Source organism: Homo sapiens, chromosome 3 (assembly GCF_000001405.40).
Source record: "Homo sapiens chromosome 3, GRCh38.p14 Primary Assembly".
NCBI lineage: Eukaryota > Metazoa > Chordata > Mammalia > Primates > Hominidae > Homo > Homo sapiens.
Window position 1 is genome coordinate 46,956,153 of NC_000003.12, and position 27,164 is coordinate 46,983,316.

The 27,164-nt window shown below is 51.6% G+C and overlaps 2 protein-coding genes across 11 annotated transcripts in view, besides 18 other annotated features; one reads left to right on the forward strand and one right to left on the reverse strand.

Annotated features, from left to right (window-relative positions):
- Positions 1-25,842, reverse strand: part of CCDC12 (coiled-coil domain containing 12) — a 60,265-nt gene extending 34,423 nt beyond the window's left edge. The window contains exons 1-2 of one of the 3 annotated variants that reach the window (NM_144716.6): positions 25,780-25,842; positions 20,485-20,691 (exon numbers count right to left, since the gene is read on the reverse strand). In NM_144716.6, coding sequence (NP_653317.2) covers positions 20,485-20,619 — 135 coding nt within the window. In that variant the 5' untranslated portion in view covers positions 20,620-20,691; positions 25,780-25,842. Of the gene's footprint in view, positions 1-20,200; positions 20,350-20,484; positions 20,692-25,779 lie in introns of those variants that run through there. The other 2 variants (NR_102269.2, NM_001277074.2) reach the window with 2 other exon arrangements.
- Positions 4,314-4,413: an enhancer, noted in NCBI's record as "active region_19803". NCBI's record gives its function as "activates an Ori minimal core promoter by ATAC-STARR-seq in GM12878 lymphoblastoid cells {active_cell/tissue: GM12878}" and the evidence as "EXISTENCE:reporter gene assay evidence [ECO:0000049][PMID:35858748]".
- Positions 4,461-4,962: an enhancer, noted in NCBI's record as "H3K4me1 hESC enhancer chr3:47002103-47002604 (GRCh37/hg19 assembly coordinates)". NCBI's record gives its function as "activates a minimal SCP1, AML or CMV promoter by ChIP-STARR-seq in naive H9 embryonic stem cells {active_cell/tissue: H9 hESC(naive)}" and the evidence as "EXISTENCE:reporter gene assay evidence [ECO:0000049][PMID:30033119]".
- Positions 8,479-9,036: an enhancer, noted in NCBI's record as "NANOG hESC enhancer chr3:47006121-47006678 (GRCh37/hg19 assembly coordinates)". NCBI's record gives its function as "activates a minimal SCP1, AML or CMV promoter by ChIP-STARR-seq in naive H9 embryonic stem cells {active_cell/tissue: H9 hESC(naive)}" and the evidence as "EXISTENCE:reporter gene assay evidence [ECO:0000049][PMID:30033119]".
- Positions 9,093-9,142: an enhancer, noted in NCBI's record as "active region_19804". NCBI's record gives its function as "activates an Ori minimal core promoter by ATAC-STARR-seq in GM12878 lymphoblastoid cells {active_cell/tissue: GM12878}" and the evidence as "EXISTENCE:reporter gene assay evidence [ECO:0000049][PMID:35858748]".
- Positions 9,946-10,876: an enhancer, noted in NCBI's record as "H3K4me1 hESC enhancer chr3:47007588-47008518 (GRCh37/hg19 assembly coordinates)". NCBI's record gives its function as "activates a minimal SCP1, AML or CMV promoter by ChIP-STARR-seq in naive H9 embryonic stem cells {active_cell/tissue: H9 hESC(naive)}" and the evidence as "EXISTENCE:reporter gene assay evidence [ECO:0000049][PMID:30033119]".
- Positions 10,408-10,579: a silencer, noted in NCBI's record as "fragment chr3:47008050-47008221 (GRCh37/hg19 assembly coordinates)". NCBI's record gives its function as "represses an EF-1alpha promoter that drives an FKBP-Casp9 reporter gene in an ReSE screen in K562 erythroleukemia cells {active_cell/tissue: K562}" and the evidence as "EXISTENCE:reporter gene assay evidence [ECO:0000049][PMID:32094911]".
- Positions 10,877-11,806: an enhancer, noted in NCBI's record as "H3K4me1 hESC enhancer chr3:47008519-47009448 (GRCh37/hg19 assembly coordinates)". NCBI's record gives its function as "activates a minimal SCP1, AML or CMV promoter by ChIP-STARR-seq in naive H9 embryonic stem cells {active_cell/tissue: H9 hESC(naive)}" and the evidence as "EXISTENCE:reporter gene assay evidence [ECO:0000049][PMID:30033119]".
- Positions 19,077-19,779: an enhancer, noted in NCBI's record as "H3K27ac-H3K4me1 hESC enhancer chr3:47016719-47017421 (GRCh37/hg19 assembly coordinates)". NCBI's record gives its function as "activates a minimal SCP1, AML or CMV promoter by ChIP-STARR-seq in primed H9 embryonic stem cells {active_cell/tissue: H9 hESC(primed)}" and the evidence as "EXISTENCE:reporter gene assay evidence [ECO:0000049][PMID:30033119]".
- Positions 19,780-20,481: an enhancer, noted in NCBI's record as "H3K27ac-H3K4me1 hESC enhancer chr3:47017422-47018123 (GRCh37/hg19 assembly coordinates)". NCBI's record gives its function as "activates a minimal SCP1, AML or CMV promoter by ChIP-STARR-seq in primed H9 embryonic stem cells {active_cell/tissue: H9 hESC(primed)}" and the evidence as "EXISTENCE:reporter gene assay evidence [ECO:0000049][PMID:30033119]".
- Positions 19,780-20,615: a biological region, named in NCBI's record as "H3K27ac-H3K4me1 hESC enhancer GRCh37_chr3:47017422-47018123".
- Positions 20,306-20,615: an enhancer, noted in NCBI's record as "active region_19805". NCBI's record gives its function as "activates an Ori minimal core promoter by ATAC-STARR-seq in GM12878 lymphoblastoid cells {active_cell/tissue: GM12878}" and the evidence as "EXISTENCE:reporter gene assay evidence [ECO:0000049][PMID:35858748]".
- Positions 20,706-20,845: a silencer, noted in NCBI's record as "silent region_14298". NCBI's record gives its function as "represses an Ori minimal core promoter by ATAC-STARR-seq in GM12878 lymphoblastoid cells {active_cell/tissue: GM12878}" and the evidence as "EXISTENCE:reporter gene assay evidence [ECO:0000049][PMID:35858748]".
- Positions 21,185-21,885: an enhancer, noted in NCBI's record as "H3K27ac hESC enhancer chr3:47018827-47019527 (GRCh37/hg19 assembly coordinates)". NCBI's record gives its function as "activates a minimal SCP1, AML or CMV promoter by ChIP-STARR-seq in naive H9 embryonic stem cells {active_cell/tissue: H9 hESC(naive)}" and the evidence as "EXISTENCE:reporter gene assay evidence [ECO:0000049][PMID:30033119]".
- Positions 23,241-23,430: a silencer, noted in NCBI's record as "silent region_14299". NCBI's record gives its function as "represses an Ori minimal core promoter by ATAC-STARR-seq in GM12878 lymphoblastoid cells {active_cell/tissue: GM12878}" and the evidence as "EXISTENCE:reporter gene assay evidence [ECO:0000049][PMID:35858748]".
- NBEAL2 (neurobeachin like 2) overlaps positions 23,514-27,164 on the forward strand; it is a 30,036-nt gene continuing 26,385 nt past the window's right edge. For all 8 annotated transcript variants that reach the window (NM_015175.3, XM_011533533.3, XM_006713072.4 and 5 more), the window contains exon 1: positions 23,514-23,760. In NM_015175.3, coding sequence (NP_055990.1) covers positions 23,710-23,760 — 51 coding nt within the window. In that variant the 5' untranslated portion in view covers positions 23,514-23,709. The remainder of the gene's footprint in view (positions 23,761-27,164) is intronic.
- Positions 23,531-23,870: a silencer, noted in NCBI's record as "silent region_14300". NCBI's record gives its function as "represses an Ori minimal core promoter by ATAC-STARR-seq in GM12878 lymphoblastoid cells {active_cell/tissue: GM12878}" and the evidence as "EXISTENCE:reporter gene assay evidence [ECO:0000049][PMID:35858748]".
- Positions 23,531-24,568: a biological region, named in NCBI's record as "H3K27ac-H3K4me1 hESC enhancer GRCh37_chr3:47021430-47022210".
- Positions 23,788-24,568: an enhancer, noted in NCBI's record as "H3K27ac-H3K4me1 hESC enhancer chr3:47021430-47022210 (GRCh37/hg19 assembly coordinates)". NCBI's record gives its function as "activates a minimal SCP1, AML or CMV promoter by ChIP-STARR-seq in naive H9 embryonic stem cells {active_cell/tissue: H9 hESC(naive)}" and the evidence as "EXISTENCE:reporter gene assay evidence [ECO:0000049][PMID:30033119]".
- Positions 24,569-25,349: an enhancer, noted in NCBI's record as "H3K4me1 hESC enhancer chr3:47022211-47022991 (GRCh37/hg19 assembly coordinates)". NCBI's record gives its function as "activates a minimal SCP1, AML or CMV promoter by ChIP-STARR-seq in naive H9 embryonic stem cells {active_cell/tissue: H9 hESC(naive)}" and the evidence as "EXISTENCE:reporter gene assay evidence [ECO:0000049][PMID:30033119]".

The following is a 27,164-nucleotide window of genomic DNA, read 5'->3' on the forward strand; positions in this document are numbered from 1 at the left end:
TTACACCAAATGAGAAAAATAAGAAAACCACCAAACTGGTAGGGCTGCAGAGGCCTCAGATATGAGCTGATAGAGGATAAACTAGCAGCAGCCCAGGGAACGGTTATAAACAGCACCTGCCAAATCAGAATCTTCCACGGTAAGACCTGGGAATCTGAATGTTCAAAGAGCCCACCTACTCCTGGGTCACATCTCTAATACATGGCCCAGTTGAGGAGCCTCTGAGTGAGACCACATGCTGCCTCCTCTTCAAGAGGCTGACCTAGAAGAGAAAGCGGACTGCATGAGGCCACACTCAGCTGCCTGAGGGCTACTGTGGTCACCAAGGTGGGCTCTGGACACAGGGCAGGCAGGATAGGAAGAAACACAAAGAAATCATTCATAAGGGGCTAGGCTCAGTAGCTCACGCCTGTAATCCCAACACTTTGGGAGGTTGAGACAGGAAGATTCCTTGAGCCCAGGAGTTCAAGACCAGTCTGGGAAACATGGTGAAACCCTGTCTCTACCACAAAAAAACACAAAGCCAGGAGTGGTAGTGTGCACCTGTAGTCCCAGCTACTTGGGGGGCTGAGGTGGGGGAATCATCTGAGCCCAGGAGGTTGAGGCTGCAGTGAGATTGCACCACTGCACTCCAGCCTGGTTGACAGAGTGAGTCCCTGTCACCACCACACCCACCCCCCCAAAATAAAAATCATTCATACAACGTAAATATCCGGAGGGCCACAGGAGATCCAGGTGAAGTGTGCAGCAAGAGAAGGGGAGAAGCCAGGGCCAGACCTCGGGTCTCGACCTCAAGTAGACTGGTGTGTCCAATGCACCATGTTCCCAAGTTATTCTATGGGCTGCCCAGAGCCCGAGCTCCTCCCTTCACTTACAAAAGCTCCACCTTGAGTCTTGGGGGAGGAAGACCCTGCCCCTTACTACAGAAGCCAAAAGTGCCCCACTCACTTTCCCAGCCTGCCTTGAAGCAGGAAGGTAACTGTGGCCCTATTGATCCAATATACCCATAAGAGACTCCAAATGGTGAGTTGTGACCTGCAGAGAGGTAGGGGTGGGGTGGCACAGACTTCTCTCTAGGGAAGCTGCAATAAGATTTGATTCAAGATTGATTCCAGGGCACAGGGCAACAGGGCTAACTGTAGTATCTAGTACTCGAAGGCAGTAGCAGTTTCCTCATTGAGCCATTTTCCATTTTTCTTATGAAATGTTGGGCTTCTTTCAGGCTGTGTACCTCTAAGGCTGGCTCTCTTTCTTTTTAATTATTTTTTTTTTCTTTTACTCCTGGTAAGCTGTAAGTGGCTCGATTTCTAAAACAACAAGCACTTTGTATTCTTCTACAATCAGCCAGAATGGATTTCTGTTGTTTGCAAATAAGTGCCTTGGCTACACATGGCCATTTATAGCAATAACCTAACAACGAAGTGTGTGGCAGGCCAGGTCTCACTAACGCAGGCCTCCGTTACGTTTCAGTACTGACTGAGTAGCTAGGTTAAATATTAAAAGCTAGCCAGGGCGGCGGTGGCTCATGCCTGTAATCCCAGCACTTCAGGAGGCCAAGGTGGGTGGATCACCTGAAGTCAGGAGTTCGAGACCAGGCTGGCCAACATGATGAAACACTGTCTCTACTAAAAATACAAAAAATTAGCCGAGCATGGTGGCAGGCGCCTGTAATCCCAGCTTCTCGGGAGGCTGAGGCAGGAGAATCACTTAAACCCAGGTGGAGGAGGTTGCAGTGAGCTGAGATCGTGCCACTGCACTCCAGCCTGGCCAACAGAGCGAGACTCCATCTCAAAAATAAAAAAATAAATACACACACACACACACACACACACACACACACACACATATATATGTAAAGCTAATAGAACCAGTGCCCTTACACAAAGGCTAGAATGTAACAAAAGCCCACCAAGAGTTTGGCCTAGGCCTTTCCTGAGCCTTGAAGCACGACAAGATAACGAAGAATTCTTAACAGGATCTGTTTAGGATTAAATAAGTTTTATTGGCGGTCTGAAGAAACTCCCCAGGCCTCCACAAACAAGTTTATTGGGAGACTAAAAGGAACGCCCCAAACCTCCATGATTTAGCAGGAGACAAGATAAGGGTAATCACCCCAGCACCTGGACCCATTATATTAAGTAAACTTACTGAGGGTCCAGAGGAAGGTCTTCAGGACTCAGATCTTAGTTATAGACTAGAAGAAGTTAATCATTTAAGTCTTTAGATGAATGCACATTTACACATAGATGTATAGCTTAGAAGATATACAAGCTCTGGAAAACTTTGTAATTTTGAATTGGTCTGGTGATAATTTCCAGGCCTTCTCCCTGTAACCAGCTGCAGAAATAAAAAAAACTCCCTTCTCTCCCAGTTCATCTGCATCTCGTTATTGGGCCAAGGGAATAAGCAGCCCGACCCTCGGTTTGGTTCTGGAACAAACGCATCCAGCACTTTATAGAGCTCAAAGTTGCGTTACATTCCATTGTTCATCCAATCCCCAACGAGAACCCAAGATAAGGGCAGGGCAAAGGTTGTGATGCCCACTCCGCGAAAGGAGGAGCTGAGACTCGGGATGTTTGTTAAGTGTTCTATGAGCTTGGTCCCAGCATCCTCCCCAACTCTCCTGACCACCACAAAGGCCAGTCACTGATGTAAGCCAAGGCCCTTACCTGAGCTAGGAGCCATCTCTCCATTCCCTCCATGCCAACACACAGCTGAGCATGAAATATACCAGACCCCAGCATCAGGCACCCCAGTATGAAATGCAAAATTCTTTACAAGTCAATTTCCAGGCAAGTCAGAGGTTTACACAGCAACAAAATGTGCTGAAGCTCCTAGACTAGAAGCTATTTTAACCTCTGGTCAGCTGCTTCTTGGAGTGTCACAATCTGAGAAGTAAAGGTAAGACAGCTGTCTGCTCTCTGGTGTGATCTACAAGTGATAAAAATCCTAATTAAACCAAATTTAAACAAGTCAGAACTGGCACATTTTTTTGTGGGGGGAAATACTGCTTCACAAGGTCTTATCCCCACCTACACACACTTCCTTTAGCTACAAAGCGTTTTTAAAAATCCACATGCTCAGCATATGGAAAGGTTGAGAAAGCAGAACCACATGAGGAGTCAATACCCAGCACTAACAACTGTGTACTGTGGTACTCTGGGCCAGTTTAGCTTCTCAGAGCTGCAGTTTCTTCAACTGCTAGATGGCATGACTTAAGGGTACGCATGTGAGTGACAGCCCTACACTGTGGCTGGCACAGAGTACGTCCTCAGTCAGTAGGCGCCAACCACAGTGATGATGATGGTGGAGCCTGAGACTCTCACCTGTGTCTTCGGGGTGAGGCCCTCTCATCCCGTGACAAAGGGGTCACATAACAGATCCCCACATTCATGCCTTGTTCCTTCCCTCAGTTCACCCAGAGCAGCCATCAGTGTCACCCGGAGGAAGCCCCAGCCCTTGCCCTCGAGCTACCACAGTTGAGAAGAGCAGACCCTACACGTGTGCAGAGAATATGAATCCAAGTCAGAAAACGCTAGCCAGTGTGGGGGGACAGGGAGGTGGCAAGGAAGAAGGGCCTTCCACAGATCATCTTCCCAAATTCAGACCACCTCCATGCCTGCCTGTTCTGCTCCTGCCCCTCCTCTGCCTAAAATCCCTCCACCTCTTTCACACCTGGAAACAGCTATCACTCTCCATGCCATCCACTCAATCCCTCAAGTGTTTTCTCAGCACCTCTACCAGCTCAGGCTCTGTCTTGTGAGTTATGCAGCCTGGGACAAAGCCCAAATGGGGACACTACTCATAAGCCAACCAATGAGATAAAGCAGGGTATGTATATCGATACTGGGTTGAGCGCTCTCCTCCACGCGACATGCATGCAAGTGTTGTCCCCCATCCCCTGTCCATGCCCTCCCTCCAAGACACTGACAGCTCTCCTCTGCCCCTCCTCCGTGGATGGCAGTATACAGTATTATACCTGGGGGTACACAGATCAGCCTTCCCACAGGGCCCCAGCCTGACCGTGCTTGAGGCAAGGGCCAGCCTCACTGACCCCATTTCCCACCCAGGCTCTGTGCACAGAGAGGCCTCAACAATAACACTTGTAACAGCCAGATGTGGAAACTGACTCCTCACCCCAGACACAGCCCAGCATTCACTCTCACTTCCTACATAGATGGAAGCTGCCTGAGTCATGGACTCCTGGGCCCAGGACAGGAAAGTCCTGCTTTAACCAGATGATGTCAAACACAGGTGCTTTTTCTTCAGGATTCAAATTACCCTGCAAGAAATCTAGTGGTGCCCTGCCCTGAAAACAATGGGAGGGGGGCTGTCCTTGAAAGGACAAATGTTTTCTGCTCCAGCCACTCACATTTTCTCTAGACAGAGCAGCTCTTTAGAGCCCTGAATCAAAACAGCCCAGGAGTGTGGATGTTACTGCCACAGGGCACCGTTGCCGAAGCAACTGTTTTTCCTCTTGGAATTCTTTCAAGGATACAAGCTGTTGCTTCCCTCCAAAACAAAACCAGGGAGAAGCCAGGGCCCCAGAATTTAAGGGAAAGCTCCGAAGGAAGGAAGAGGGCCAGGCATGACTGAGCCTTATCAAGCTCGCTATGGGGTCTCCCAGATCTCCGAACAACTGGCTTAGAAACAGCAAGTCCGTCTCAGCTGCTGAAGGTGTATGTGTAGGGAAAGGCAAATTGTGGGTATGGAGGTATAAAGGTGGTGCTGCTTATGTGTGTTTTGAGGTGTGTATGAGATATGTATTGGTGTAAAGGGGTTGGGGTTTGTAGGTGTGGGTTGGGGGCATGTGGAGGGGTGCTGTGGAGTGTTGGAGGTGTGCAGGGAATGGGAGGGTGTGGGGAGAAGGGAGGTACTATTGTGGGGGGAAGTGTGTGGGGTAGGGCCTGGGGTGTGTGGTGGTGTTGTGAGGTTAAGGGAGTGTAAGGAGGTGGGATGCACTGTAGGCAGGGGGCTGGGTGTGGAGAGTACATGCTGTATGTGCATGTGTATATGCGCTGGAGGTGGGTTGGAGGTATGTGGGATAGGTTACAGAAAATATTCCAAGATGATATATGAGACATCTTCTCCAGAAACAAAAATATGAATTGCATTTCATTTCTGTATTACAATTCTTAGTGCTACAGAATCACATGCTGCTCCCAATGTCTGCAGGGTCAATGGAAGAGCCAAAAACCATTTAAAACATACAGCCCCAGTTTGAAACAACTGACCCTGAAGCAACTATCGGAGGTAACACATATTTCTAGTCAGAACACCCCTGGCTCGGTAGGTCCAGAGTATGGACAGAGTCTGGCTAGCAGGTCAGGAGGCCAGCACTGGAGGGCCTGGCTCAGCAGGTCCTTGTCTTCCCTGGGAGTCCATGTTGTCTTTTCTCTAGTGCACAAAGCCTAAGGGGCTCAGAGTCACAGGACGCAGCATACCCACTACAGTGCCATGGGGCACCCAGGAAATGTCTGAATGTTTTGTTAAAATAAGTTTAAGAGTTGTCTCTGCCTACAAGGAACTGCCTGTCCACTGAAGGGGTGGCATGAATTGGGACTTAGAAGCATGAAAAAACAAATATATTTTAGCAGCTACCACTGCTACTACTACTACTACTATATGTACAATGACAATTATCAGGATGTTATGGAAGGTTAACAGCATGATCATAAACAGTGCATGCCAATTAAGTCACGGGAAACTCTTCTAAAACACAAATGTCAAATATCAAATAGTGCCAAGTCACTGATACCCATATGGGGAGAAAAAGAATCTTGATCCCTACGCACACCACACAAAAGTAAATTCGAGATGGGTTAGAGGTCTAAAGGTTAAAGTAAAACAAGCAAACTTCTAGATTATAACATAAAAGAATATCATCTAGACCTATATGTAGGCAACTATTTCCTTAAACAGGCCACAAAAGATATTAGAAAAAAATGATAAACTACATTAAAATTAAGAACTACTATTCGCCAAAGAATTCAATTTTGGGCCAGGTGAGGCGGCTCTCGTCTGTAATCTCAGCACTTTGGGAGGCTGAGGGGGGTGGATCATCTGAGGTCAGGAGTTCAAGACCAGCCTGGCCAACATGGTAAAACCCTGTCTCTACTAAAAACACAAAAATTAGCTGGGCATGGTGGTGGGCACCTGTAATCCCAGCTATTCAGGAGGCTGAGGCACAAGAATTGCTTGAACCCAGGAGGCGGAGATTGCAGTGAGCCAAGATTGTGCCATTGCACTCCAGCCTGGGTAACAAGAGCAAAACTCTATCTCAAAAAAAAAAAAAAAAAAAAAATTTAATTTTAAGAGCCTGAAAAGTCAAAGCCAAGGCAGGCAGAAGAGATAGTCACATCACATACACAGAACAAAGGACACATAAGGAACTTCTAGAAATCAATAGGAAAAACAGGCAACTGAATAAAAAGGAGAAGAGGTGAAAGACATGAACAGGCACTTCACATAAACATATGAAAAGATAATCCAACTTCATTAGGTAGGAAATACAAATTTAAACCACAAAAGGATGCCACTATACCTCCACCAGCCTGGCTAACATGAAAAAAACTAACTATACCAAGTATTAGAGAGGAACCGCCATACAGTGCTGGTCAGAGTGCAAAATAGTAGAGCCATTTTGCAAAAGTGTTTGACAGTATCTGTCCTATATACACCCTACGGCCTAGCAATTCCACTCCTAGGCATAGATCCTACAGATGGGTACATATGTTCACCAAGACATGTACAAGACTGGGAAGAGCAGCACAATCCATAATAGTTCCAGCCTGAAAATCCAGAGGAGAATGGATAAAATCTGGTCTGTTCAAACAATGGAATACTATACAGAAATAAGAATGCACTAATTCCACACCCAACAACTGACAAACATATGATGAATGAAAGAGGCCAGATACAGAAAACTACATACTGTTTAATTCCATTTATATAAGGTTCAAAAGGAAGGAAGGCAACTTCTCGTGTTACAAGTCCAGAGTGGTTCCCCTTGAAGAGTGAGCACCTGAGAAGTGATTCTGGGATGTTATCATGTTTCTTGATCTGAGTGACTGATGACATGGGCATGTTCACCTTAGGAAAATTACTGAGCTGATTTATGTACTTTTCTCTCTGTATAGTTTGTATGCTTAATTAAAAAGATTTTTTATGCCACTATAAAGTCATTAAAAAGAAAAACTTAAGCCCACTTAGAAATCAAAAATAAAATAATTAGCCCTCTCCCTCTCCCTCTCCCTCTCCTCACGGTCTCCCTCTCCCTCTCCTCACGGTCTCCCTCTCCCTCTCCCACGGTTTCCCTCTCCCTCTCTTTCCACGGTCTCCCTCTGATGCCCAGCCGAAGCTGGACTGTACTGCTGCCATCTCGGCTCACTGCAACCTCCCTGCCTGATTCTCCTGCCTCAGCCTGCCGAGTGCCTGCGATCGCAGGCGCGCGCCGCCACACCTGACTGGTTTTCGTATTTTTTTGGTGGAGACCGGGTTTCGCTGTGTTGGCCGGGCTGGTCTCCAGCTCCTAACCGCGAGTGATCCGCCAGCCTCGGCCTCCCGAGGTGCCGGGATTGCAGATGGAGTCTCGTTCACTCAGTGCTCAATGGTGCCCAGGCTGGAGTGCAGTGGCGTGATCTCGGCTCGCTACAACCTCCACCTCCCAGCCGCCTGCCTTGGCCTCCCAAAGTGCCGAGATTGCAGCCTCTGCTCGGCCGCCACCCCATCTGGGAAGTGAGGAGCATCTCTGCCTGGCCGCCCATCGTCTGGGATGTGAGGAGCCCCTCTGCCTGGCTGCCCAGTCTGGGAAGTGAGGAGCGCCTCTTCCCGGCCGCCATCCCATCTAGGAAGTGAGGAGCGTCTCTGCCCGGCCACCCATCGTCTGAGATGTGGGGAGCGCCTTTGCCCCGCCGCCCCGTCTGGGATGTGAGGAGCGCCTCTGCCTAGCTGCGACCCCGTCTGGGAGGTGAGGAGCGTCTCTGCCCGGCCGCCCCGTCTGAGAAGTGAGGAGCCCCTCCGCCTGGCAGCCGCCCCGTCTGAGAAGTTAGGAGCCCCTCTGCCCGGCAGCTGCCCCGTCTGAGAAGTGAGGAGCCCCTCCGCCCGGCAGCCACCCCGTCCGGGAGGGAGGTGGGGGTCAGCCCCCGCCCGGCCAGCCGCCCCATCCGGGAGGGAGGTGGGGGGTCAGCCCCCGCCCGGCCAGCCGCCCCGTCTGGGAGGTGGGGGGCGCTTCTGCCCGGCCGCCCCTTCTGGGAAGTGAGGAGCCCCTCTACCCGGCCACCACCCGTCTGGGAGGTGTACCCAACAGCTCATTGAGAACGGGCCATGATGACAATGGCGGTTTTGAGGAACAGAAAAGGGGGAAAGGTGGGGAAAAGATTGAGAAATCGGATGGTTGCTGTGTCTGTGTAGAAAGAAGTAGACATGGGAGACTTTTCATTTTGTTCTGTACTAAGAAAAATTCTTCTGCCTTGGGATCCTGTTGATCTATGACCTTACCCCCAACCCCATGCTCTCTGAAACGTGTGCTGTGTCCACTCAGGGTTAAATGGATTAAGGGCGGTGCAAGATGTGCTTTGTTAAACAGATGCTTGAAGGCAGCATGCTCGTTAAGAGTCATTACCACTCCCTAATCTCAAGTACCCAGGGACACAAACACTGCTGAAGGCCGCAGGGTCCTCTGCCTAGGAAAACCAGAGACCTTTGTTCACTTGTTTATCTGCTGACCTTCCCTCCACTATTGTCCTATGACCCTGCCATATCCCCCTCTGCGAGAAACACCCAAGAATGATCAATAAAAAAATAAAATAAAATAAATAAAATAAAATAAAATAATTAAAATCTAGAGAGAACTAACTCAGTCAAGAGGACCATAAGGAAAAAGTCCTCCAAAGAGAAGATTAAGGACTCCCAAGCACACCCAGAAGACAGCTACTTGGACACTGAGAGGGAAGCACATCCCATTCACACCCTCCTGGCTCCAGGAGACAGGAGAAAAAAACTGAGGGATTCACCATCAAGACCATGCAAATTCTTTTGTTGCAAAAGCTAACAGAAAGATTAAAAACCAGCTTGAATTTCAACATTCCTTTGCTTTCCAATTCCCTGCCCCCTATCAGTGAGGCCTGGGGAACACAACTTACACCTTGTAATACCACAGAAGTCAACCAAACGGGAGACTGTGGCGGAACAACTGTGTCACTGGCACAGCAAGAAAGAGGAACCTTGTCTTGTGGCTGTCTAGTGCCTCTTCTGCTACATGGAGGGTGCTTCAGCCACCACAGGTGAGCTAAACCGTGAAGGATCCTGAATAGCCACCCATCTGCCTCGATGGAAACCGTGCCCTCTGAGGGAAATCCAGAGAGAGGCTCACCCTTCGCCCAGGCCAGGTGTTTCTCCCCAGCATATCAGACCAAACTGAACGGGGTCCCATTCTCTTCCCTGTAGCTCACTGCAGAGCCCCTCCTTGCAAAGCTCCAAGGGATGAGGGCAGCACCAATTCTATCCCAGAGGAAGAGCACCCCCAAACTTGGCCAGGAGGCGGTGGGCTCCCTGGCCCATCCCTCTGGCTCCATCTCCAGAGGACAAGGGATTGGCCCTGTGTGATTGTGTTTGGTCCCTTACTTCTCCACATCTGTGGTGTCTCAGGTACAAGTTAAAGGGGCCCTCAACCAGAGGTAAAATAAGAGTATAGGAGAAAGAATAAATGCACACATCACACTTCCCACCTCTCAGCTCCCTTCTGCACACACCATCTCACTTAACCCTTATCCTGGGAGGGAGGAGGTACTGTGGCCATCTTCCAGCTAAAAAGGATGTGAAGAGACTTACCTATCTACACATCCCAAGGTGAGCAGGGTGGCGGAGCCAGGTGGGCAAAGCAACCTGTCCAGAGAGCAGGGAATCATGAGAGAAACGGCCAGCCTGACCCAGAAGCAGTGGTCATATTGTAGGAGCTGCAGTGCAGCCCTCAGGACCTACGTGCAGGGACAGAAAGGACAGGGGAGGGGGGAGTGTACATTTACGGCAACTTGAATCTGTGCTCCCAGGTTGAAAAAAGAAAGAAAGAAAGAAAGCGGGCTGGGCACGGTGGCTCACGCCTATAATCCCAACACTTTGGGAGGCCAAAGCAGGGAGACGACTTGAGACCAGGAGTTTGAGACCAGCCTGGACAACATGGCGAAACCCCATCTCTACTAAAAATACAAAAATTAGCCGGGCGCGGTGACACACACCTATAATCCCAGCTACTCAGGTGGCTGAGGCAGGAGAACGGCTTGAGCACGGGGCGGGGCAGAGGCTGCAGTGAGCTGAGACTGCGCCACTGCACCCCAGCCTGGGCGACAGAGTGAGACTCTGTCTCAAAAAAAAAAAGAAAGAAAGAAAGAAAGAACGAAAGAAAAGGGCTAGAGTTGCTAGAGTGGCAATATGAAGACCTGAGCACTAGCAAGAAGGCTGCCAGCATCCAAACACCAGGTGAGTTCAGACAGCAAGGCTATAAGGGCACTGCCTCAGACTGGCGCTACCCTCCTGAGAGGAGGGATGGATGTCCCGGCTGGGGTCCAGTGAGGACTTCAAGCAGTGGAAAGGAGGCTTAATTTACAGGAAGGCTTTGGCCAGCATGCTGCACCTCAACCCAGCTGGCCTGGATTCCACTGGCACCACACACTTCCCTGAAACAGCTGGACCAAGCTCACCTATCACCTTGTCTTGCCAAAACCCATCCCCAGTCTTCGCCTGGCTTCTCTCAGCCCCACTGTCCTCATGCCGCCCCACCCCACCAAGTTTCCTTGGATTCTTCTAACTCCTGCTAAATACCTGCAGAGCGAGCCTCAGGGCACAGAATGATCTCCCAGTCCTCTGTCTCTGTGGTCTAAGCTCTGTCACCAGAGGGCCTCGTCTAGCCCCAGGGCTTGATATCCTGTATCTGTTTCTAGTCCAGATGCCTGCTTATGTCTCTCTTCGCTTACCTGTCTAACAGTCATCTCTGGCTTAATGTGGCCAAAGCCAGACTCTTGCCTTCCCCTTCAAAGCCCCTCTCCCCTGTACTTTGCCATCTCAGGAACCCTGTCTGTGCGCACTGCCTCACACCTGGGCTCCTGCAGCTGCCTCCTACCTCCACACACAGTCATCCAAGGGCATGTCAGCTTTGCTCAGACCTCCAGTGGTTCCCCAACCCCCTTAGCCTGAGGTCCAGCCTTGGTGGTCTGCAAGGCCCCCTTCTAACTAGCCCAGCCTCCCAGGCCCTCTCCACCCTCATCCCCCTTCCATACCTCCCACTGTTCACTCTACTCCTACTCCTCAAACATGCCAAGCTAGTCTTGCTCAGCTTGGAATGCTCTTCCCTAGATCTTGGCATCTCACTCCTCCATCCCCGTCTCAGAACTCCCAGGTGGTGGTCTTCCCAGCCTGGGCAGCTGCACAGCCTCTCCCCAACACACACACCACATTCCCAAGTTCCTGGGACACATAAACAGGGACACCATGTTCCTTGTTTCTAAGTATTCCCACTCCTTCCATAGAAGCCCCTTGAGGCAAGGAGGAAGTCTTGTTCATAGCTGTATCCCCAGGGCCTGTCATACAGCTGGTACTCAATAAATACTTATTAGTGGCTAGCTGCAGAGTTCCTGCAGTGAGCATGGGCAGCTAAGGTTCCAAGGGAAAAAAAAGTATCCTTCTTCCAATGAGAGAATGCCAGGGACTGATCAGAGATGTCCAGAAAAATTCATCAGAATCACCTGGGGAACTTTAAGAATGCATGAATTTATAGGCTATATACCAAGACCACAATAGGTCTGAGGTAGGGCCAGAAAAAAGGACTGCAAATTGTCTCTCAAGACAACCCAACGAACAGGTAGGTCTGAGAAACTCAGATAAATCCAACACCATCATTTCATACGTGAACATATTGAGGGCCTCAGAAGGAAATGCTGGCTCACCATAGGTATGTGTTGGGAACCCCAAATCTCCCACCCAGAAGATTCTCCCTCTCACTGCCTCCACAACCTTGGAGTCTGAGAGCTTGGGCAGAAAAGCTGAGTCCTTAGGAAGAACGGGCACTCACACTCCACCTCGGCTGTGACTGCAAATCCATTTTCTTCTTAATCTAACACTTTGCACTAACACTCCATCTTCAAAAAATTAGGGCTAGGATGAGTAAAGCCAGGGTGCAGGAGAAGGACCTCTTTGCTTCCACTGGAACCGGGCCAGTTCCACCCACTGTCACCCAGCGGAGAAGGCTGCAGGACCACCTGGATGTCCCCACTTACAAGAGGGTAAAGAAGAAAGGACAGGCATCCACGTTTATAAAAGGCCTGTGTGCAAGATCTCGAGCTAGACACTTCATAGACAGCATCTTTCTCTGTTCTCCTAGCTACTGATGAGTTCAGAAGCTGTATCTCGATTTTATAGACAAGAGAGAGGCTCAGATTTTTCAAGGCTTGCTCTGAGTACCATAGATGCGATTAATGGAGCAGAGGTTTAAATCAGATCTGTCTCCAAAGTCCATTCTCTCCACTCCACCACTAGGCCTCCACCTGGCAGCCTGGTTACAGTTTATATGTGTGATGGGTGGAGGCTCCTTCCCGGGAGGTACTTATTCCCAAGCACCTGGGGGTGAGAGGTGTAGAGGGATAGAAGGCCAGAGCCTAAGGGACAATCTAGGGTCAGCAACAACTCAAAGCACGACTGTGGGATGTTCCTTCAGCCCAGGGTTTCCTGGTCTATCAGACAGGGATGAAGCAATACACCCTGCTTCAAAGTCCTGCTTCAGGGATGGAACACGATTCTGCCACAACTGCCACGCAAATGTTATGACTGCCAACCTGCCAAAAGCTGTCAATACAGGCGGCAGTGATCGCCTTGGCTGACTTTGCAACCAGGCTGCTGGGCCTGGGGATGTGGCCACATGGGATGTAGATAGAGGCAACTTCTTGAGACATGATCAGGACACGGACAAGTCTGACTCCTCACCCAGCATACTAGGCCTCTCACCCACTGCCTCTGTTCCTCCAGCAAGACTTGCTAGCCCCTCCCTCTGGTTCCCTCTTTTACCCTCCCCCAACCTGGCCAGGGACCCTCCCTAGTACTCCCAAGTCAGAGAGTACTAGTGCATGCCTTCTACCTTGGCATTGCTCCCACTCTCTGCACTGTGCATTTTTTTCTTTCTGTTTGTTTTTTAATCCTCCCACCTCAGCCTCCCGAATAGCTGGGACTGCAGGAGCGGGCCACCATGCCCGGCTAATTTTGTTTACTTATATTTGTAGAGATGGTGTCTTGTTATGTTGCCCATGCTGGTCTTGAACTCCTGAGCTCAAGCGATCTGCCCACTTTGGCCTCCCAAAGTACTGGGATTACAGGCGTGAGACACCACACCTGGCCCGCACTCCCATTTCTTGAGTGTGTAAATCACAACTATACCACTCTGAATCACCAGCACTTAACTCCACAGGGTACATACACAGATGGCCCCAAATCAGCATCTGATGGAGATACCAGCCATGAATATGGCCAACTTCCAAGCCCTCTGCCCAGCTTTGGGCTCCCAAGGCTGATGTGATGGTCATCTGGGTTTCCACTTGCCCCTTAGCGCTCAACAACTGGAGCTCAGGTAGAGACACAGTTTCTTGTAAGTCAGGCTGAAGGGAGCAAGTCCTCCAGAGATGCACCGTCGAATAAGGCAATCACGAGTCAAGTGTGGCTGTTTAAATGTAAACTAACTAAAATTAAATGTCGCAGTAGCCATATTTCTTTTTTTTTTTTTTTTTTTGAGACAGGGTCTCACACTGTTGCCCGGGCTGGGGTGCAGTGACGTGATCTCAGCTCATTGCAACCTCTGCCCCTACCAGGCTGAAGCAATTCTCCCTGCTCAGTCTCCCAAGTAGCTGGAACTATAAGTGCACGACACCATTCCAGGTTAATTTTTTGTATTTTTTGTGGAGATGGGGATTTGTCATATTGCCCAGGCTGGTCTCAAACTCCTGGACTCAAGTGATCTTCCTGCCTCCACCTCCCAAAATGCTGGGATTATAACAAGCTTGTCCAACCCGCAGACCAAGGCCCAGGACCACTTCAAATGCAGCCCAACACAAATTCGTAAACTTTCCTAAAACATTATGAGATATTTTTTGTGATTTTTTTTTTAAAGCTCATCAGCTATCATTAGTGTTACTGCATATTATGTGTGGCCCAAGACAATTCTTCTTCCATTGTGGCCCAGGGAAGCCAGAAGATTGGACACCCCTGGATAACAGGCATGAGCCACTGTGCCTGGCCGGTAGCCACATTTCAAGGGCTTGAAAGTCACAGGTGGCCCATGGCTACAGTACTAGACAGTGCAGATTAAAGAACACTATCACTGCACAAAGTTCTAGTGAGCAACACTGCTGCTCTAATCTCTAGAGCCAGGTGACAACCAGGAATTGCTGGTTGCCTGGAACCTGCAACTTGACAGCCAGACCTCAGCCCCAAGGGCTGGTCAGCCAGACAGCCAGTCTCCCTGTCTCAGAGCAGCAAGAGACAGCCCAATTCAGGGCAATCGCTCAGGAAAGCTTGGCATGTTTATGCCAAGTTAATCATCACCTTTAGAGAGCCTCCATTTGGCTGCTGAAGAAGAAAGAGGTCAAAGGAGGACAGAGTGGCCTCACACTGCCCTGCCGGACAGCACTGTAAAGAGATGCCAGAGTTTCATCCACACAGCCTTGAACTGTTCACCTACTCACCCAGCCAGGAACTTCTGGATGAGCATCAGGAAATGAGGTTCAAATACAATACAGAAAAGTGTGCCCAGGCTGGCTACCATCCCTGCTGGAAACCCTGGCTCTTGCAAAACTTGGCTACCAGAGTACCCCAGTCCAGCACTTTCAGACTGTACCCCTGCCCCTGTATCACTGCCAAGTGCTTGCTGTCAAACTCCCTGGAGCATCTCCACTCTCACCTCTATGCACCTGAATGTTCCCACCTCTAAAATGCTCCCTGGGAACACTCTCCTTTCCAGCTACCTCGATGACCTTCTCCCACTTCCCCATCCTCCGTGGCTCAGCTCAAGTTCCATGCTGCCTTCCCATGAAGCTTCCTCAGGCTCTGCCTGGCTTTCCCAGAAAATGAACCCCAGCAGTACTGTCTTTCTGCGTGTCAACGGGAACTGGCTGACCTACAAGATGCTGCTTCAGGCAGTGCTGTGTCCTCTACAGAATCCCCTTCCCCCAGGGGGTCTTGCATGGGCTGGAATCCTGGAATCCAGGAGACATTACTTCCCCTCCTCAGCCTTGGACATCCCAGCTCTCCTCAGCCTCTTGCCTTGCTCCTCTCACTAATAAGTGGCATCAGGTGGGCTGACCAGGACGTCTTTGTAAAACTACAGCTGCATGACTACAAGAGAGTTTTGCGCAGAATAATACACGGAAACATTGCAACCCCTAATCTTGTCTCTTTCCATCTGCCACAACCTCAGGACCCTGAATTGTCTTAATATCACTAAATTATGAGTTTATAGTCTGGTGAGAGTTAGGAAGAAAGATAAAACTGTGAGGAAAACCAACTCCATGCCTGAAATTCCTAAGGCCTCCAGCAAAACCATGCCCACAGTAAGAACTCAATGAAGGACCTGCCACTGAGTGCTAGGAAACCAGCAAGATGCCATCCTCATGGGGCAGACAGGTGCTCTCCAAGTGCAGGCAGAGAAGGTGCTCAATCCTGGTGTCTGTTGTCACATCAGAAACCTGAACTAAAAATGTGAAGCCGCTTCCTCTCTGAAGGAGGAGACTCAAGGGGTTTTATCTGGCCACAGCAGGCAGTCATACTTCCTCACCAGACTCCCCACTTAAAAGGTCCAGCAGAAAGGGCCACAGGCTGGAAAATCAACTCAAAGGTTAGACCCTTACCTGTCCTGTCCCCAGGCATTCACCTTAATAAAAAAAATCACTCAAGAACTATAGGGATTAAATATGACACTAAAAATACATGCAACAAAATCAAAAACAGATAAATTGAACTTCATCAAATTTTAAACTCTTTGCGCAGCAAATGAGACTATCCACCAGGTGCGGTGGTTCACACCTGTAATCCCAACACTTTGGGAGGCCAAAGCAGGAGGACTGCCTGAGGCCAGGTGTTTGAGATCAGCTTGGGAAACACAGTGAGACCCCCATCTCTACAAAAAATTAATTTTTAAAAAAATGACACTACTAAGAGAATGAAAAGATAATCCAGAGAATGGGAAAAAATATCACTAATCTCATCTCTAATAATGATTTAATATCCAGAATATATGAACAATTCAATGACAACTCAATAACAAGAAAAAGAGCCCAATTAAAAATATGGGCAAAAGGAATCTGGATACTTCTTCAAAGAAAATATATATACAAGTGGCAAACAAGCATATGAAAGGATGTTCAACATCACTCATCACTGGGGAAATGCAAATCAAAACCACAATGGGATACCACCACTTCACACCCATTAGGAAGGTTATAATTAAAAAAACGAAAAAAGAAGATGGCTGGGCTTGGTGGCTCACACTTGTAATCCTAGCATTTTTGGAGGCCAAGGCAGGAGGATCACTTGAACCCAGGAGTTCAAGACCGGCCTGGGGCAACACAGTGAGACTCCTGACTCCTTTAAAAAAAAAAAAAGAAAGAAAGAAAATAAAATAATAAGTGCTGGGGAGGATGTGGAGAAACTGGAAGCCTTGCACACTGCTGCTGGGAATGTAAATGGTGCAGCCACTACTGAAAACACTATGGTGTTTCCTCAAAAAGCTAAACAGAATTATCATATGATCCAGCTGTTTTCCCTACACATAATTACATTCCTCTCCCTGCTATATAAACCCCTGATTTTAGTTCGTCGAAAAGACAGATTTGAGACTGATCTCCCTTCTCCTCACCTGACATCACCCGAATTTAAAAAAAAAAAAAAGGCCCAGTGTGGTGGCTCACGCCTGTAATCCCAGCACTTTGGGAGGCCGAGGTGGGTGGATCACCTGAGGTCAGGAGTTTGAGACCAGCCTGACCAACATGGTGACACCCTGTCTCTACTAAAATAAAAAATTAGCTGGGCGTGGTGGCATACACCTGTAATCCCAGCTACTGGGGAGGCTAAGGCAGGAGAATCGCTTGAACCCAGGAGGTGGAAGTTGCAGTGAGCTGAGATCGTGCCATCGCACTCCAGCCTGGGCAACAAGAGCGAAGCTCCATCTCAAAAAAAAAAAAAAAAAATTAATCCCAGCTACTCGAGAGGCTGAGACAGGAAAATTGCTTGAACCCAGGAGGCGGAGGCTGCAGTGAGCTGAGATTGCACCATTGCATTCCAGCCTGGGCAACAAGAGCGAAACTCCATCTCAAAAAAAAAAAAACAAGAATTACCATATGATCCAGTAATTCCACTTCTGGCTATCTACCCAAAAGAATTTAAAGCAGATACTCAAACAGGTATCTGTACTCCCATGTTTCTTCTTTTCTTTTTTTTTTTTTTTTTTGAGATGGAGTCTCACTCTGTCGCCCAGGCTGGAGTGCAGTGGCGCATCTCAGCTCACTGCAAGCTCCGCCTCCCAGGTTCACGTCATTCTCCTGCCTCAGCCTCCCAAGTAGCTGGGACTACAGGCGCCCACCACCGCGCTCGGCTAATTTTTTGTATTTTTAATAGAGACAGGTTTTCACTGTGTTAGCCAGAATGGTCTCGATCTCCTGACTTCGTGATCTGCCCACCTCGGCTTCCCAAAGTGCTGGGATTACAGGCGTGAGCCACCGCACCAGGCCTTGTACTCCCATGTTTATAGCAGCGTTATTCACAACAGGCAAAACGTAGAAGCAACCCAACTAAACAAAACATGGTATACACAACGGAATATTATTCAGCCTTTAAAAAAGGACTGAGATTCTGACATATGCTACAACATGGATGAAGTGTGAAGACATGCTAAGTAAAATAAGCCAGTCACAGAAGGACAAATACTGTATGATTTGATTACATGAGGTACCTAGAGTAGTCAAATTCAGAGACAGGAAGTAGAACAGTGATTGCCAGGGGCTGGGGAAAGGGGGAATGGAGAGTTATTGTTTAACGGGTACAGAGTTTGGGATGATGAAAACGTTCTGGACATTGAATTATACATTTAAAATGGTTAAAATAGTAAATTGTATGTGTATTTTCCCACAATTTTAAAACATAGAAAAAATAACAATCAGGCCATACTTCCAGCCCACTGAGAGGATCCCTCTTTAAAAGCCAGTTCTCCTGATGATCTAGCACGTCCTTCCCTGGCAATGGGCTCTGTGGATGCTATTTTGTCCGTTGCATTCCGACCTCAAACCCGGCCCCAATAACCTGCCCTAAATCCAAGCGAACAGCTCAGGTGAACTAGCCATTGTTTGAAAGGCTGAGGTTTGAGCTTCTCTGGGACAGGCAATTTAGGGGCTGTCTGATATGTTCCACAGGCAGCCAACAAAAGCAGAAGCCACTCTAGCCAGCTTTCACACCCTATTACTTCCCTTTTCACTTTCACACAGGACCCCCAGACTGCCATGCAGTAAGGAAAATAGGGGTCAGACTGTCCAGCCTGTTTTTTCAGTTGGAAAGTGGGAAGTGCCCCCCATCTCTGACAGGTCTAGCTATTTAACATTCTTTTACTTCACACACTGAAGGACACAGTTTTCACCCATCTAAAACTACGGCCCTCATTGGTCTGTCTCTGTAGCCCTTTCACACAGATTATCCCATTAGATCTCACAATAACCCAATGAGAATGAATGTGTACGGACTGTCATTCCCCACTGGAGACATGAAGAAACCCAGCTCAGAGAGATGAAGCAATGTGTCCCAAGTCCAGGTAAAAAAGCAAACTAGGGTTTGCACACAGGTAGTGAACTTCAGAATTCTTCTTCCTCTCCATTACGTTGGAAAGATGAACAAAGTAGAAATGGAACTTTTCATTTGCTGTTAAACGACAGCAAAGAAAAATGCTTCCGAATATGGCAATTAATAGGCTAGTAGGCCCATCCCCAAAGAAAGAACTAAGGCCCTCTTCTTTTTTCCCAATTTTTTTTTTTTTTGAGACCAGTCTCACTCTGTAACCTAGGCTGGAGTGCAGTGGCGCGATCTCGGCTCACTGCAACCTTTGCCTCCCAGTTCAAGAAATCCTCCTGCCTCAGCCTCCCGAGTAACTGGGATTACAGGTGCCTGCCACCACACCTGGCTAATTTTTGTATTTTCAGTAGAAATGGGGTTTCACCATGTTGATCAGGCTGATCTCGAACTCCTGACCCATCTGCCCGCCTGGGCCTCCCAAAGTGCGGGATTACAGGCACCAGCCATTGTGCCCGGCCCTCGTTCCCAATTTCTAAGGCCCACCCTTAGTTAGAAATAAATCTTTTCTTTTTTTTTTTTTTTTTTTTTTGAGACGGAGTCTCGCTCTGTCGCCCAGGCTGGAGTGCAGTGGCAGGATCTCGGCTCACTGCAAGCTCCGCCTCCTGGGTTGACGCCATTCTCCTGCCTCAGCTTCCCAAGTAGCTGGGACCACAGGCACCCGCCACCACGCCCGGCTAATTTTTTTGTATTTTTAGTAGAGACAGAGTTTCACCGTGTTAGCCAGGATGGTCTCGATCTCCTAACCTCGTGATCCGCCCACCTCGGCCTCCCAAAGTACTGGGCGCGTGAGCCACCGCGCCCGGCTAAATCTTTTATTTTCGATTTTTTTTTTTTTTTTTTTTTTGAGACGGAGTCTCGCTCTGTTGCCCAGGCTGGAGTACAGTGGCGAGATCTCGGCTCACTACAACCTCTGCCTCCCAGGCTCAAGCGGTTCTCCTGCCATAGCCTCCCGAGAAGCTGGGATTACAGGCGCGCACCACCACGCCCGGCTAATTTTTGTATTTTTAGTAGAGGCGGGGTTTCACCATGTTACCCAGCCTGGTCTCGAACTACTAACCTCAAGTGATCCGCCTGCCTCGGCCTCCCAAAGCACTGGGATTACAGGCGTGAGCCACCGTGCCCGGCCTCTTTTTGATTTTTGCACGAAACGACTCCGGCTGTATACCCACTGCTGTCACTTGCTGCCCTGTCCAAGGAGTGCTGCCGGACTGGGGAGTCTGTCTGACTCAGAATCGAAGGCGGGGGTTAAAGACCAGCTAGGCCATAGAGGAACGGAACAAATCACGCCTAACCCAACAAGCATCTGAACCTACAGGCAGCCCTAGATACCTACACGAGCAACACCCGGGAAGCAGGAGTCAGATGGACTGCGGGTCGCTGACCACTGCCTTGCCCACCCCCGCGCATGCGCGACGACCGCACCAGCGCCAGAGGAGTCCCACGCCAAGCAGCCCCAGACATCGTGGGAGGGCGCCGTCTTCTCGCGCATGCGTTAGCGCCCGCGCATGCGCGCCCTCGGCAGCTGTCTTTCCTTATTAGCCCTTTGCTCTCCTCAAGCGCGACCCGGACCCCGAACGCTGGACGCCTCAACTGCGACCCTCACTCCACACTTCTCACCTTGCGCCCGGTTTTCTCCCGTAGGGCCTTCAGCCGTTCCTTTCGCCGCAACGCCTCTTCCTCTAGCCGGCCCACACCAGCCGTAGTTGCCTCCATCTTGCCCGCGTACGCCCCTCCTTTTCTCCCGTCTTGCATCGCGCAGGCCTAAGGAGAGTGGATAAATGTCTCGCGGCCAATCCAAGGACGAGAATGAGAGACTGGGAGGTCCTGAAAGCCAATCAATGCGGGGTTATTATGGGCGAGCCCTCCCCGCCTTGCCCCGCCCCGCCCCGCCCCGCCCTTATTCTTCCGGACAACTTGCCTAGTGGGTGGGGAGCCAGCAAAAAAAAAAAAGAAAAAAAAAAAAGCTAAGGCTCGATTTATCCAACGCTGATCAGTGAAAGAGCAGCAAGTGGAATTCAGACCTGAGAGAAGGAGAAAAGAGTGCGTCGATCGCTCCGGTTTTGCCCAAGTACTAACCACACTAATCACTCCATGCTGGCCTCTTGGAATGCCCTGACTCATCCTTGTCCACTTGACCTGACAAGGCTCGAATGCCTTCAAGAAACCTTCCCTGGGCCGGGCGCGGTGGCTCACGCCTGTAATCCCAGCACTTTGGGAGGCCGAGGAGGGCGGACCACGAGGTCAGGAGATGGAGACCATCCTGGCCAACATGGTGAAACTCCATCTCTACTAAAAATACAAAAATTAACTGGGCGTGGTGGCGCGTGCCTGTAATCCCAGCTACTCGGGAGGCTGAGGCAGGAGAATCGCTTGAACCAGAGAGGCGGAGGTTGCAGTGAGCCGAGATCGTGCCACTGCACTCCAGCCTGGCAGCAGAGCAAGACTCCGTCTCAAAAAAAAAAAAAAAAAAAAAAAAGCCTTCCCTGATCCTCCACTTCGATCCCACCCTAATACAAGGTATGACTTACACCTCTGCAGCTGTCAGTGGCTCCCCGGACTCACCTGACAAGCGCCCCTAAGCCCCTCTGTGACCACTCTCAGCTCAGACAAAGCCTGCACAGTGAGGGGGACCTGACTGTATGGCTGTTTCCCTCTGGACTCAAAGATGATCCCCTCTCATTCCCATCCCCTCCTGGAGCAGCAAAGTCCTCAGGGTCAAGTTACCTTTCCCGGGGAAGAGCAAACCCCAACCTGGGTCCAGTGGGCCTCAAGTACTGCCCCCAATCCCCAGCTTAGAAAGACTTGGGGTGGCCTCGACTGCAAGTCGCCACAAGATTCATGGCTACCCAGCAGAAGCTGCCAGAGTCTTCTTTCCTGCATGAACTAGAGTGTCCTGATAACCGCGAGACCACTTAGGCTGAAGTCAAGATATTCTTTCAGTATGTGGGGGTCCCCAAAGCCACACCCCCTCTCACTTGGGAATAGGAGACCATGCCGCCCCCTCTCCACCTCCACTGCCAGGGGACAACTAGCCTCTTAGGCTGTTCCCTCCCTGAGTCTTCCCTTCCCAAGCTGGCTACAGGTGGACATCCACTCTTCCCCTTCCAACTCCCTTCAGAGGCCCATGGGCCACAGACTGCAGATCTAGCCCTCCCTTCACTAACCCTCTTGTCCTCACTAACCTGGGTCTGTCTAAGCCTTCTTCCCTGTAGTGGATGGGTTGCTCTGCCAAGGCCTGGCATGCAGTTTGGAGGTGCTCAGGAAACCTCAGCTCAGAGCTATGATGGATGAAGCAGGACAAAAGGCCAGAGGTGAACCAAGAAGCTGGGAGAACAAAACAGGACAGGGTCTCTGTTGTCTTGGCCAACCAAGGTCTAGGAGTCTCCAGACTGGTCAACTCCTGGAACGAGTAGCACCCCTCTGGGCCCAGAAAACTTCTCCCCAGCCCCAACAAAGAGCCTGATCCCTGCCCAACACCAGGGGTTGGGTCCCTGCCACCATCACCCCGTGCCCCTTTCCCCGTGTCCAGACTGTGAGGTAAGGGGATGGGGAAGGGGGCACGGGGTGATGGTGGCAGGGACCCAAAAAAGAGTCAGTCAAGCCTGGGTCCCTGCCCCTGCTGCCCAAGTGGTCCTCATTTGGTCAACTTGGGCCTCAGTTTCTCCATCTGTAAAACAGAGCCGGCCGGGTGCGGTGGCTCATGCCTATAATCCCAGCACTTTGGGAGGTCGAGGCGGGTGGATCATGAAGTCAGGAAATCCAGACCATCCTGGCTAACACGGTGGAACCCCGTCTCTACTAAAAATACAAAAAATTAGCTGGGCCTGGTGACACGCGCCTGTAGTCCCAGCTACTCAGGAGGCTGAGGCAGGAGAATCACTTGAACCCAGGAGGCGGAGATTGCAGTGAGCCGAGATCGAGTCACTGCACTCCAGCCTGGGCGACAGAGTGAGACTCTGTCTCAAAAACAAACAAAAAACAGAGCCATGAGGCACCCACCTGTTGAGGTTAAAGAAACAACATATGTGAAGCAAGTTCTGGGCCCTGGAGTTGGGGAATGGGGGGAGCCCCTCCACTGGAGCGTTTGGGAAGGCTTCCTGGAGGAGGGAGGGGGACCCGTGGCAACGGTCTAAGCCTCTCTGGGATCTGGGAGGGCACCGCGGCCCCGAAGGTATTTCAGGCTAGTCCTGCTACTCTCTAACTTCCCGCCATCACACTCCACAAACAGCTAGAGCTCAAAAGTTGCGTTTCGGTCTTCCCATAAAGCGACAGAGTAGCACCTGGCATTTGATAAGCGCTACAAGGGGTCGTCATGGTGGTGGTGGAGATTATTGTTGAAGGACCCTCGCCACCTCCACGCGGCCCGCCGCCCCTTCCCTGAATGGCGGCAAATGCAGTCAGGCGAGCAGCGTCCTGGGCGGATTCAGACCCTGGGGAAGTCTGGAATTCCTCACCCCGACCCTCGTCCCGGAGGCTCAGGCTGGCCCTTCCAATGGCACTGGTGGGGCAGGGCAGCGGGGCACCCTCCCGGGCCGCCCGGCCCATAGGCCCCTCCTCCTGCCAGGCTCTCCGCCCTTTACATGGTCCCAGGAGAGGCGGGGCGGCGGTGACTGCAGCGAAGTGCAGGAAGCTGGGCGGCGGCCGGCAGTGAGGAGGAGGAGCGAGCAGACTTGGGTGGCTCTGCGCCGCGGAGGCCACAGCCGCAGACTTCCCCAGTAGTACCGCGCCGCTCCGCCCCGGAGTGACGCCCTCCGCCCATGGGCCTGGCCGAGGGCAACCGGCGGGCGGCGCGGAGGAGGCGGCGACAGGTGGCGCGCAGCAGGGCCGGAGCCGGGCCGGGCCATGGCCGCCTCGGAGCGGCTGTACGAGTTGTGGCTGCTCTACTACGCGCAGGTGAGCCCGCCCCGCCCCGCGCCCGCACCCGCACCCGCGGTGCCCCCAGCTTCGCGCGCCCCGCGCCTGCTGCACCTGGCGCCCCGCGCCGCTGGGGCCGCGTAGCCGCGCGCGCGGGCGCGCGCGCGCAGGGCATGCTCCGGCTCCGCACACACGTGTGTGCCCCCAGCCCGCCGGGTGCCTCTGGCACTTATGCCTTGGGGACAGAGCTCGCGGTCGTGCACTTCATAGCAACCCACCCCCGCGAGCAGGACCGTGCAGCCTGAGTCTTTCTTGCTAGAGGAGAGTGGCCTGGGCCGAGGCGGCCGGACACTTGGCCTTTTTACAAATGGGGAAACTGAGACCTGGAGAGACCTGGAGACTGGCCAGGAGGCTAGGGGGAGGGGGACTCAATTTGTCTATGAGCTGCCTCTCCCTTGGGCGCGGCCTGATTGGGTGGTCGTGGCCAACGGGTCTGGGGGTGTGGGCCAAGGTAGGGAGGTGTGTGGAAGGGGAATGCTCCCACTTCAGGTCCTTCTTGAGTTGCATCCCCCCACACCCCAGCGAACAGGCTGTGATAAGCTCTTCCCTGACTTGAAATGACCCACCCCACCCCACCCCCATTCTGAGGGGTAGACCCAGGACCTCTCTAGGAGCAGAAGAAAAGGTTTTCCTCTGGATGCCCAGGGTGAGGGTGGGTCCTTGAGGCCCTGAGGGATGTCTGAAAAGGTTGGAGGGAGGCCCGTTCCTCCTGAGCTCCCCACCCATCTCAGAAAATACTTCAGGTGGAGTCAGAAGGTGAGGGGAGTGACTCAGACGTGGGTGTCCCATCAGCTGAGAACCTGGTATCACTCACACCGTCTCACACACATAGTCCCCCATTTTCCTTCTGTACCCACAGCAGGGAGGGATCCCAGGGTAACACTCCCCTCCCCTTCACCCAGCACCTCCCTCCCTGCACCTGCCTGGCATCATGCTCCTGGCTCAGGTGTGCCCTGGGCACAATGGACCATTGTGTGCCCTGAACAGTTTGTCAGTGGGGGGAATTCATGCTCAGACACGCTGGCCCTCCATAAGGAGGCTGGCCCACTGTCTTCCACGGACCTGGAGTCCAGGCCAGAAGGACCACAGCCTCTTCAGTCCGCTCAGGTTGTGAGAGGTCCAGGCCCCAGCAGGAGGCCAGGCATGGAGTAGAGTCCCTCTTTGGTATAACTCAGATCGAACTCGACTTCTGAGCCTCTGCTTCCTGCCTGTAAAACTGACACAGCCCTGGCCGGGCACGGTGGCTCACACCTGTAATCCCAGCACTTTGGGAGGCCGAGGCGGGCAGATCACAAGGTCAGGAGATCGAGACCATCCTGGCCAACATGGTGAAACCCCATCTCTACTAAAATACAAAAATTAGCCGGGCGTGGTGGGGTGTGCCTGTAATCCCAGCTACTCGGGAGGCTGAGGCAGGAGAATCGCTTGAACCAGGGAGGCAGAGGTTGCAGTGAGCCGAGATCGCGCCACTGCACTCCAGCCTGGTGACAGAGTGAGACTCCGTCTCAAAAAAATAAAATAAAAATAAAAAACTGACACAGCCCTGACCTCAGGGGCTTCCTGGACTCTGTGGAGAGGTAGCCATTATAGCTGGTCCAGACCAGAGAAGGCTCCTGTTTTCCTGGCCCCATTGGGTCCCCTCGCCCCAGCTTCTCTGCCTGCATCCCCAGTGGTTGTGAAGGAGCAGAGGGTTTGAAGAGAAGCCTACCCTAGTCCTCCTTCCTCGGACTGCCCCATAGCTATGGGCAGGCTCTAGGTGCATGGGCAGGTAAAGGGGGCTTAAACCAGCTGGTGAGTGTGAGGGATGTTAATGATAGGTCTTCAGCCTGGGTGGCAGGCTGCTGGGAGTGTCTTGGTATCTCCCAGGACAGTAACTCCAGCATGGTTGCCTCCTGATGCCCCATCTAGCTGAGCTCTGTACATGGCCACCCCCCATCCCCTCAGGAGGTGGTTATGGCTCATATCTGTGCTGAGCCTCCCCCTCCCGGAGCTCCTCACCTCGCAGGGCAGGTATGGAGCATAGGCTGGCAGGTTGTAGCTTTGGAAGCCTGAGCAGACAGTGGGCAGCCTGGGGCCAGGCAAACAAATCCAGGATGTAACAGCAAACCCCCAAGCCAGGCGGGGCCAGGCTGCCTGGGAAGAGGAAGCTAGGGCCAGCCTCCCAGCTCGCCTTCCTGCCCGCCTGCTCCTGACCCTGATCCTGGAACCCCCAATCCAGGGAGGAGTAGGCTATGCAACTTTGAGTCCTGTTAGGGACCTATTGTGTGTGTGCTTGGGGAGGGGGAGTGCAAGGTAAGGGGCAGAGCTGAAAGTGGGTGTTTAGAGACCCTTTAGTTGGCCAGCCACCCAGCCAGCAACACCTGCACCCCTCCCTTCAGCAGTGAGAGCTGACATCAGCTGGCAAACCTGTTTCCCCAGTTGTGGGTCTGGGTGGGGATGGAGAGGGGGGAGTAACTCCTTCCTGCCCTTCCTCTTCCTTAAAGACCCCAGGTTTAGACCCACCCACCCCCTCCCCCTGGGGGCCCGGCTCAACTGGGGGCCTCATAGTGAGGGAGGGGGCTGTGGGTGGCTGCTGAGGGAAGAGGGAAGGGTCAGAGCATCCCAGGACTTCACTCAGTTGGAGCTCCTTAGGGCCCTGGTGGGGAAACCAAGGCAGGGTCCTACTACGATTGTCAGACCTCACATGCAGTAGGTGCTCCTTGGGTATTAGCTGAATGACTGGATAGAGGAGGTGGGTCCCATGGCAGTGACCAGTCAGGAAGTCACCCCAGAGGAGGCTGAGTTTGGGCTTTGAAGGCTGAGAGGAAGAAACAGCAGGAGCAGTGGGACAAGAAGCAAATTGTCAGGAGTTGGGGCAGGGCAGAGCTAGTCAAGCAGGCCTGGTGGACAGGTGGGGGCTCATCTAGAGGACTCAGAGCCCACCAGAGCTCCCCCAGGGTAGGCATAGGAAGGGCAGGAGAGTCTTGGGGGACTGGGGACAGCACCTGACAGGCTGGCGGTTGGGCAGCCCATAAAAGTTAATGCCACATAGCATGCAGATGAGTGGCCCCTGTTCAGGCCGGAGCAGCAGTGATGTTCAGCAACCCCTCCAGTGAATGGGGTCACAGAGTGAGGGGGCACTGAATGTGGAAGGGCACTCAGGGTCACAAAGTTCAGGGCAGAACAAACCCTCAGGTGACAGGAGGGAGCAGAAGCTGACCTGTCCAGCTATGCCACTGAGGCCTCAGAAGGGTTCAGGGAGGTTAGGTCAGGCTGGAGGCAACCTCGTCCTGCCTACACTTCCCTGAGAGTTCCCTCTCCCTAACTGATGATCTCTACTGCCTCTCAGAAACCTGGTCAGGCCCTCCACTCCCCCGGTACTTTACCTGGTCATATTCCTTTTT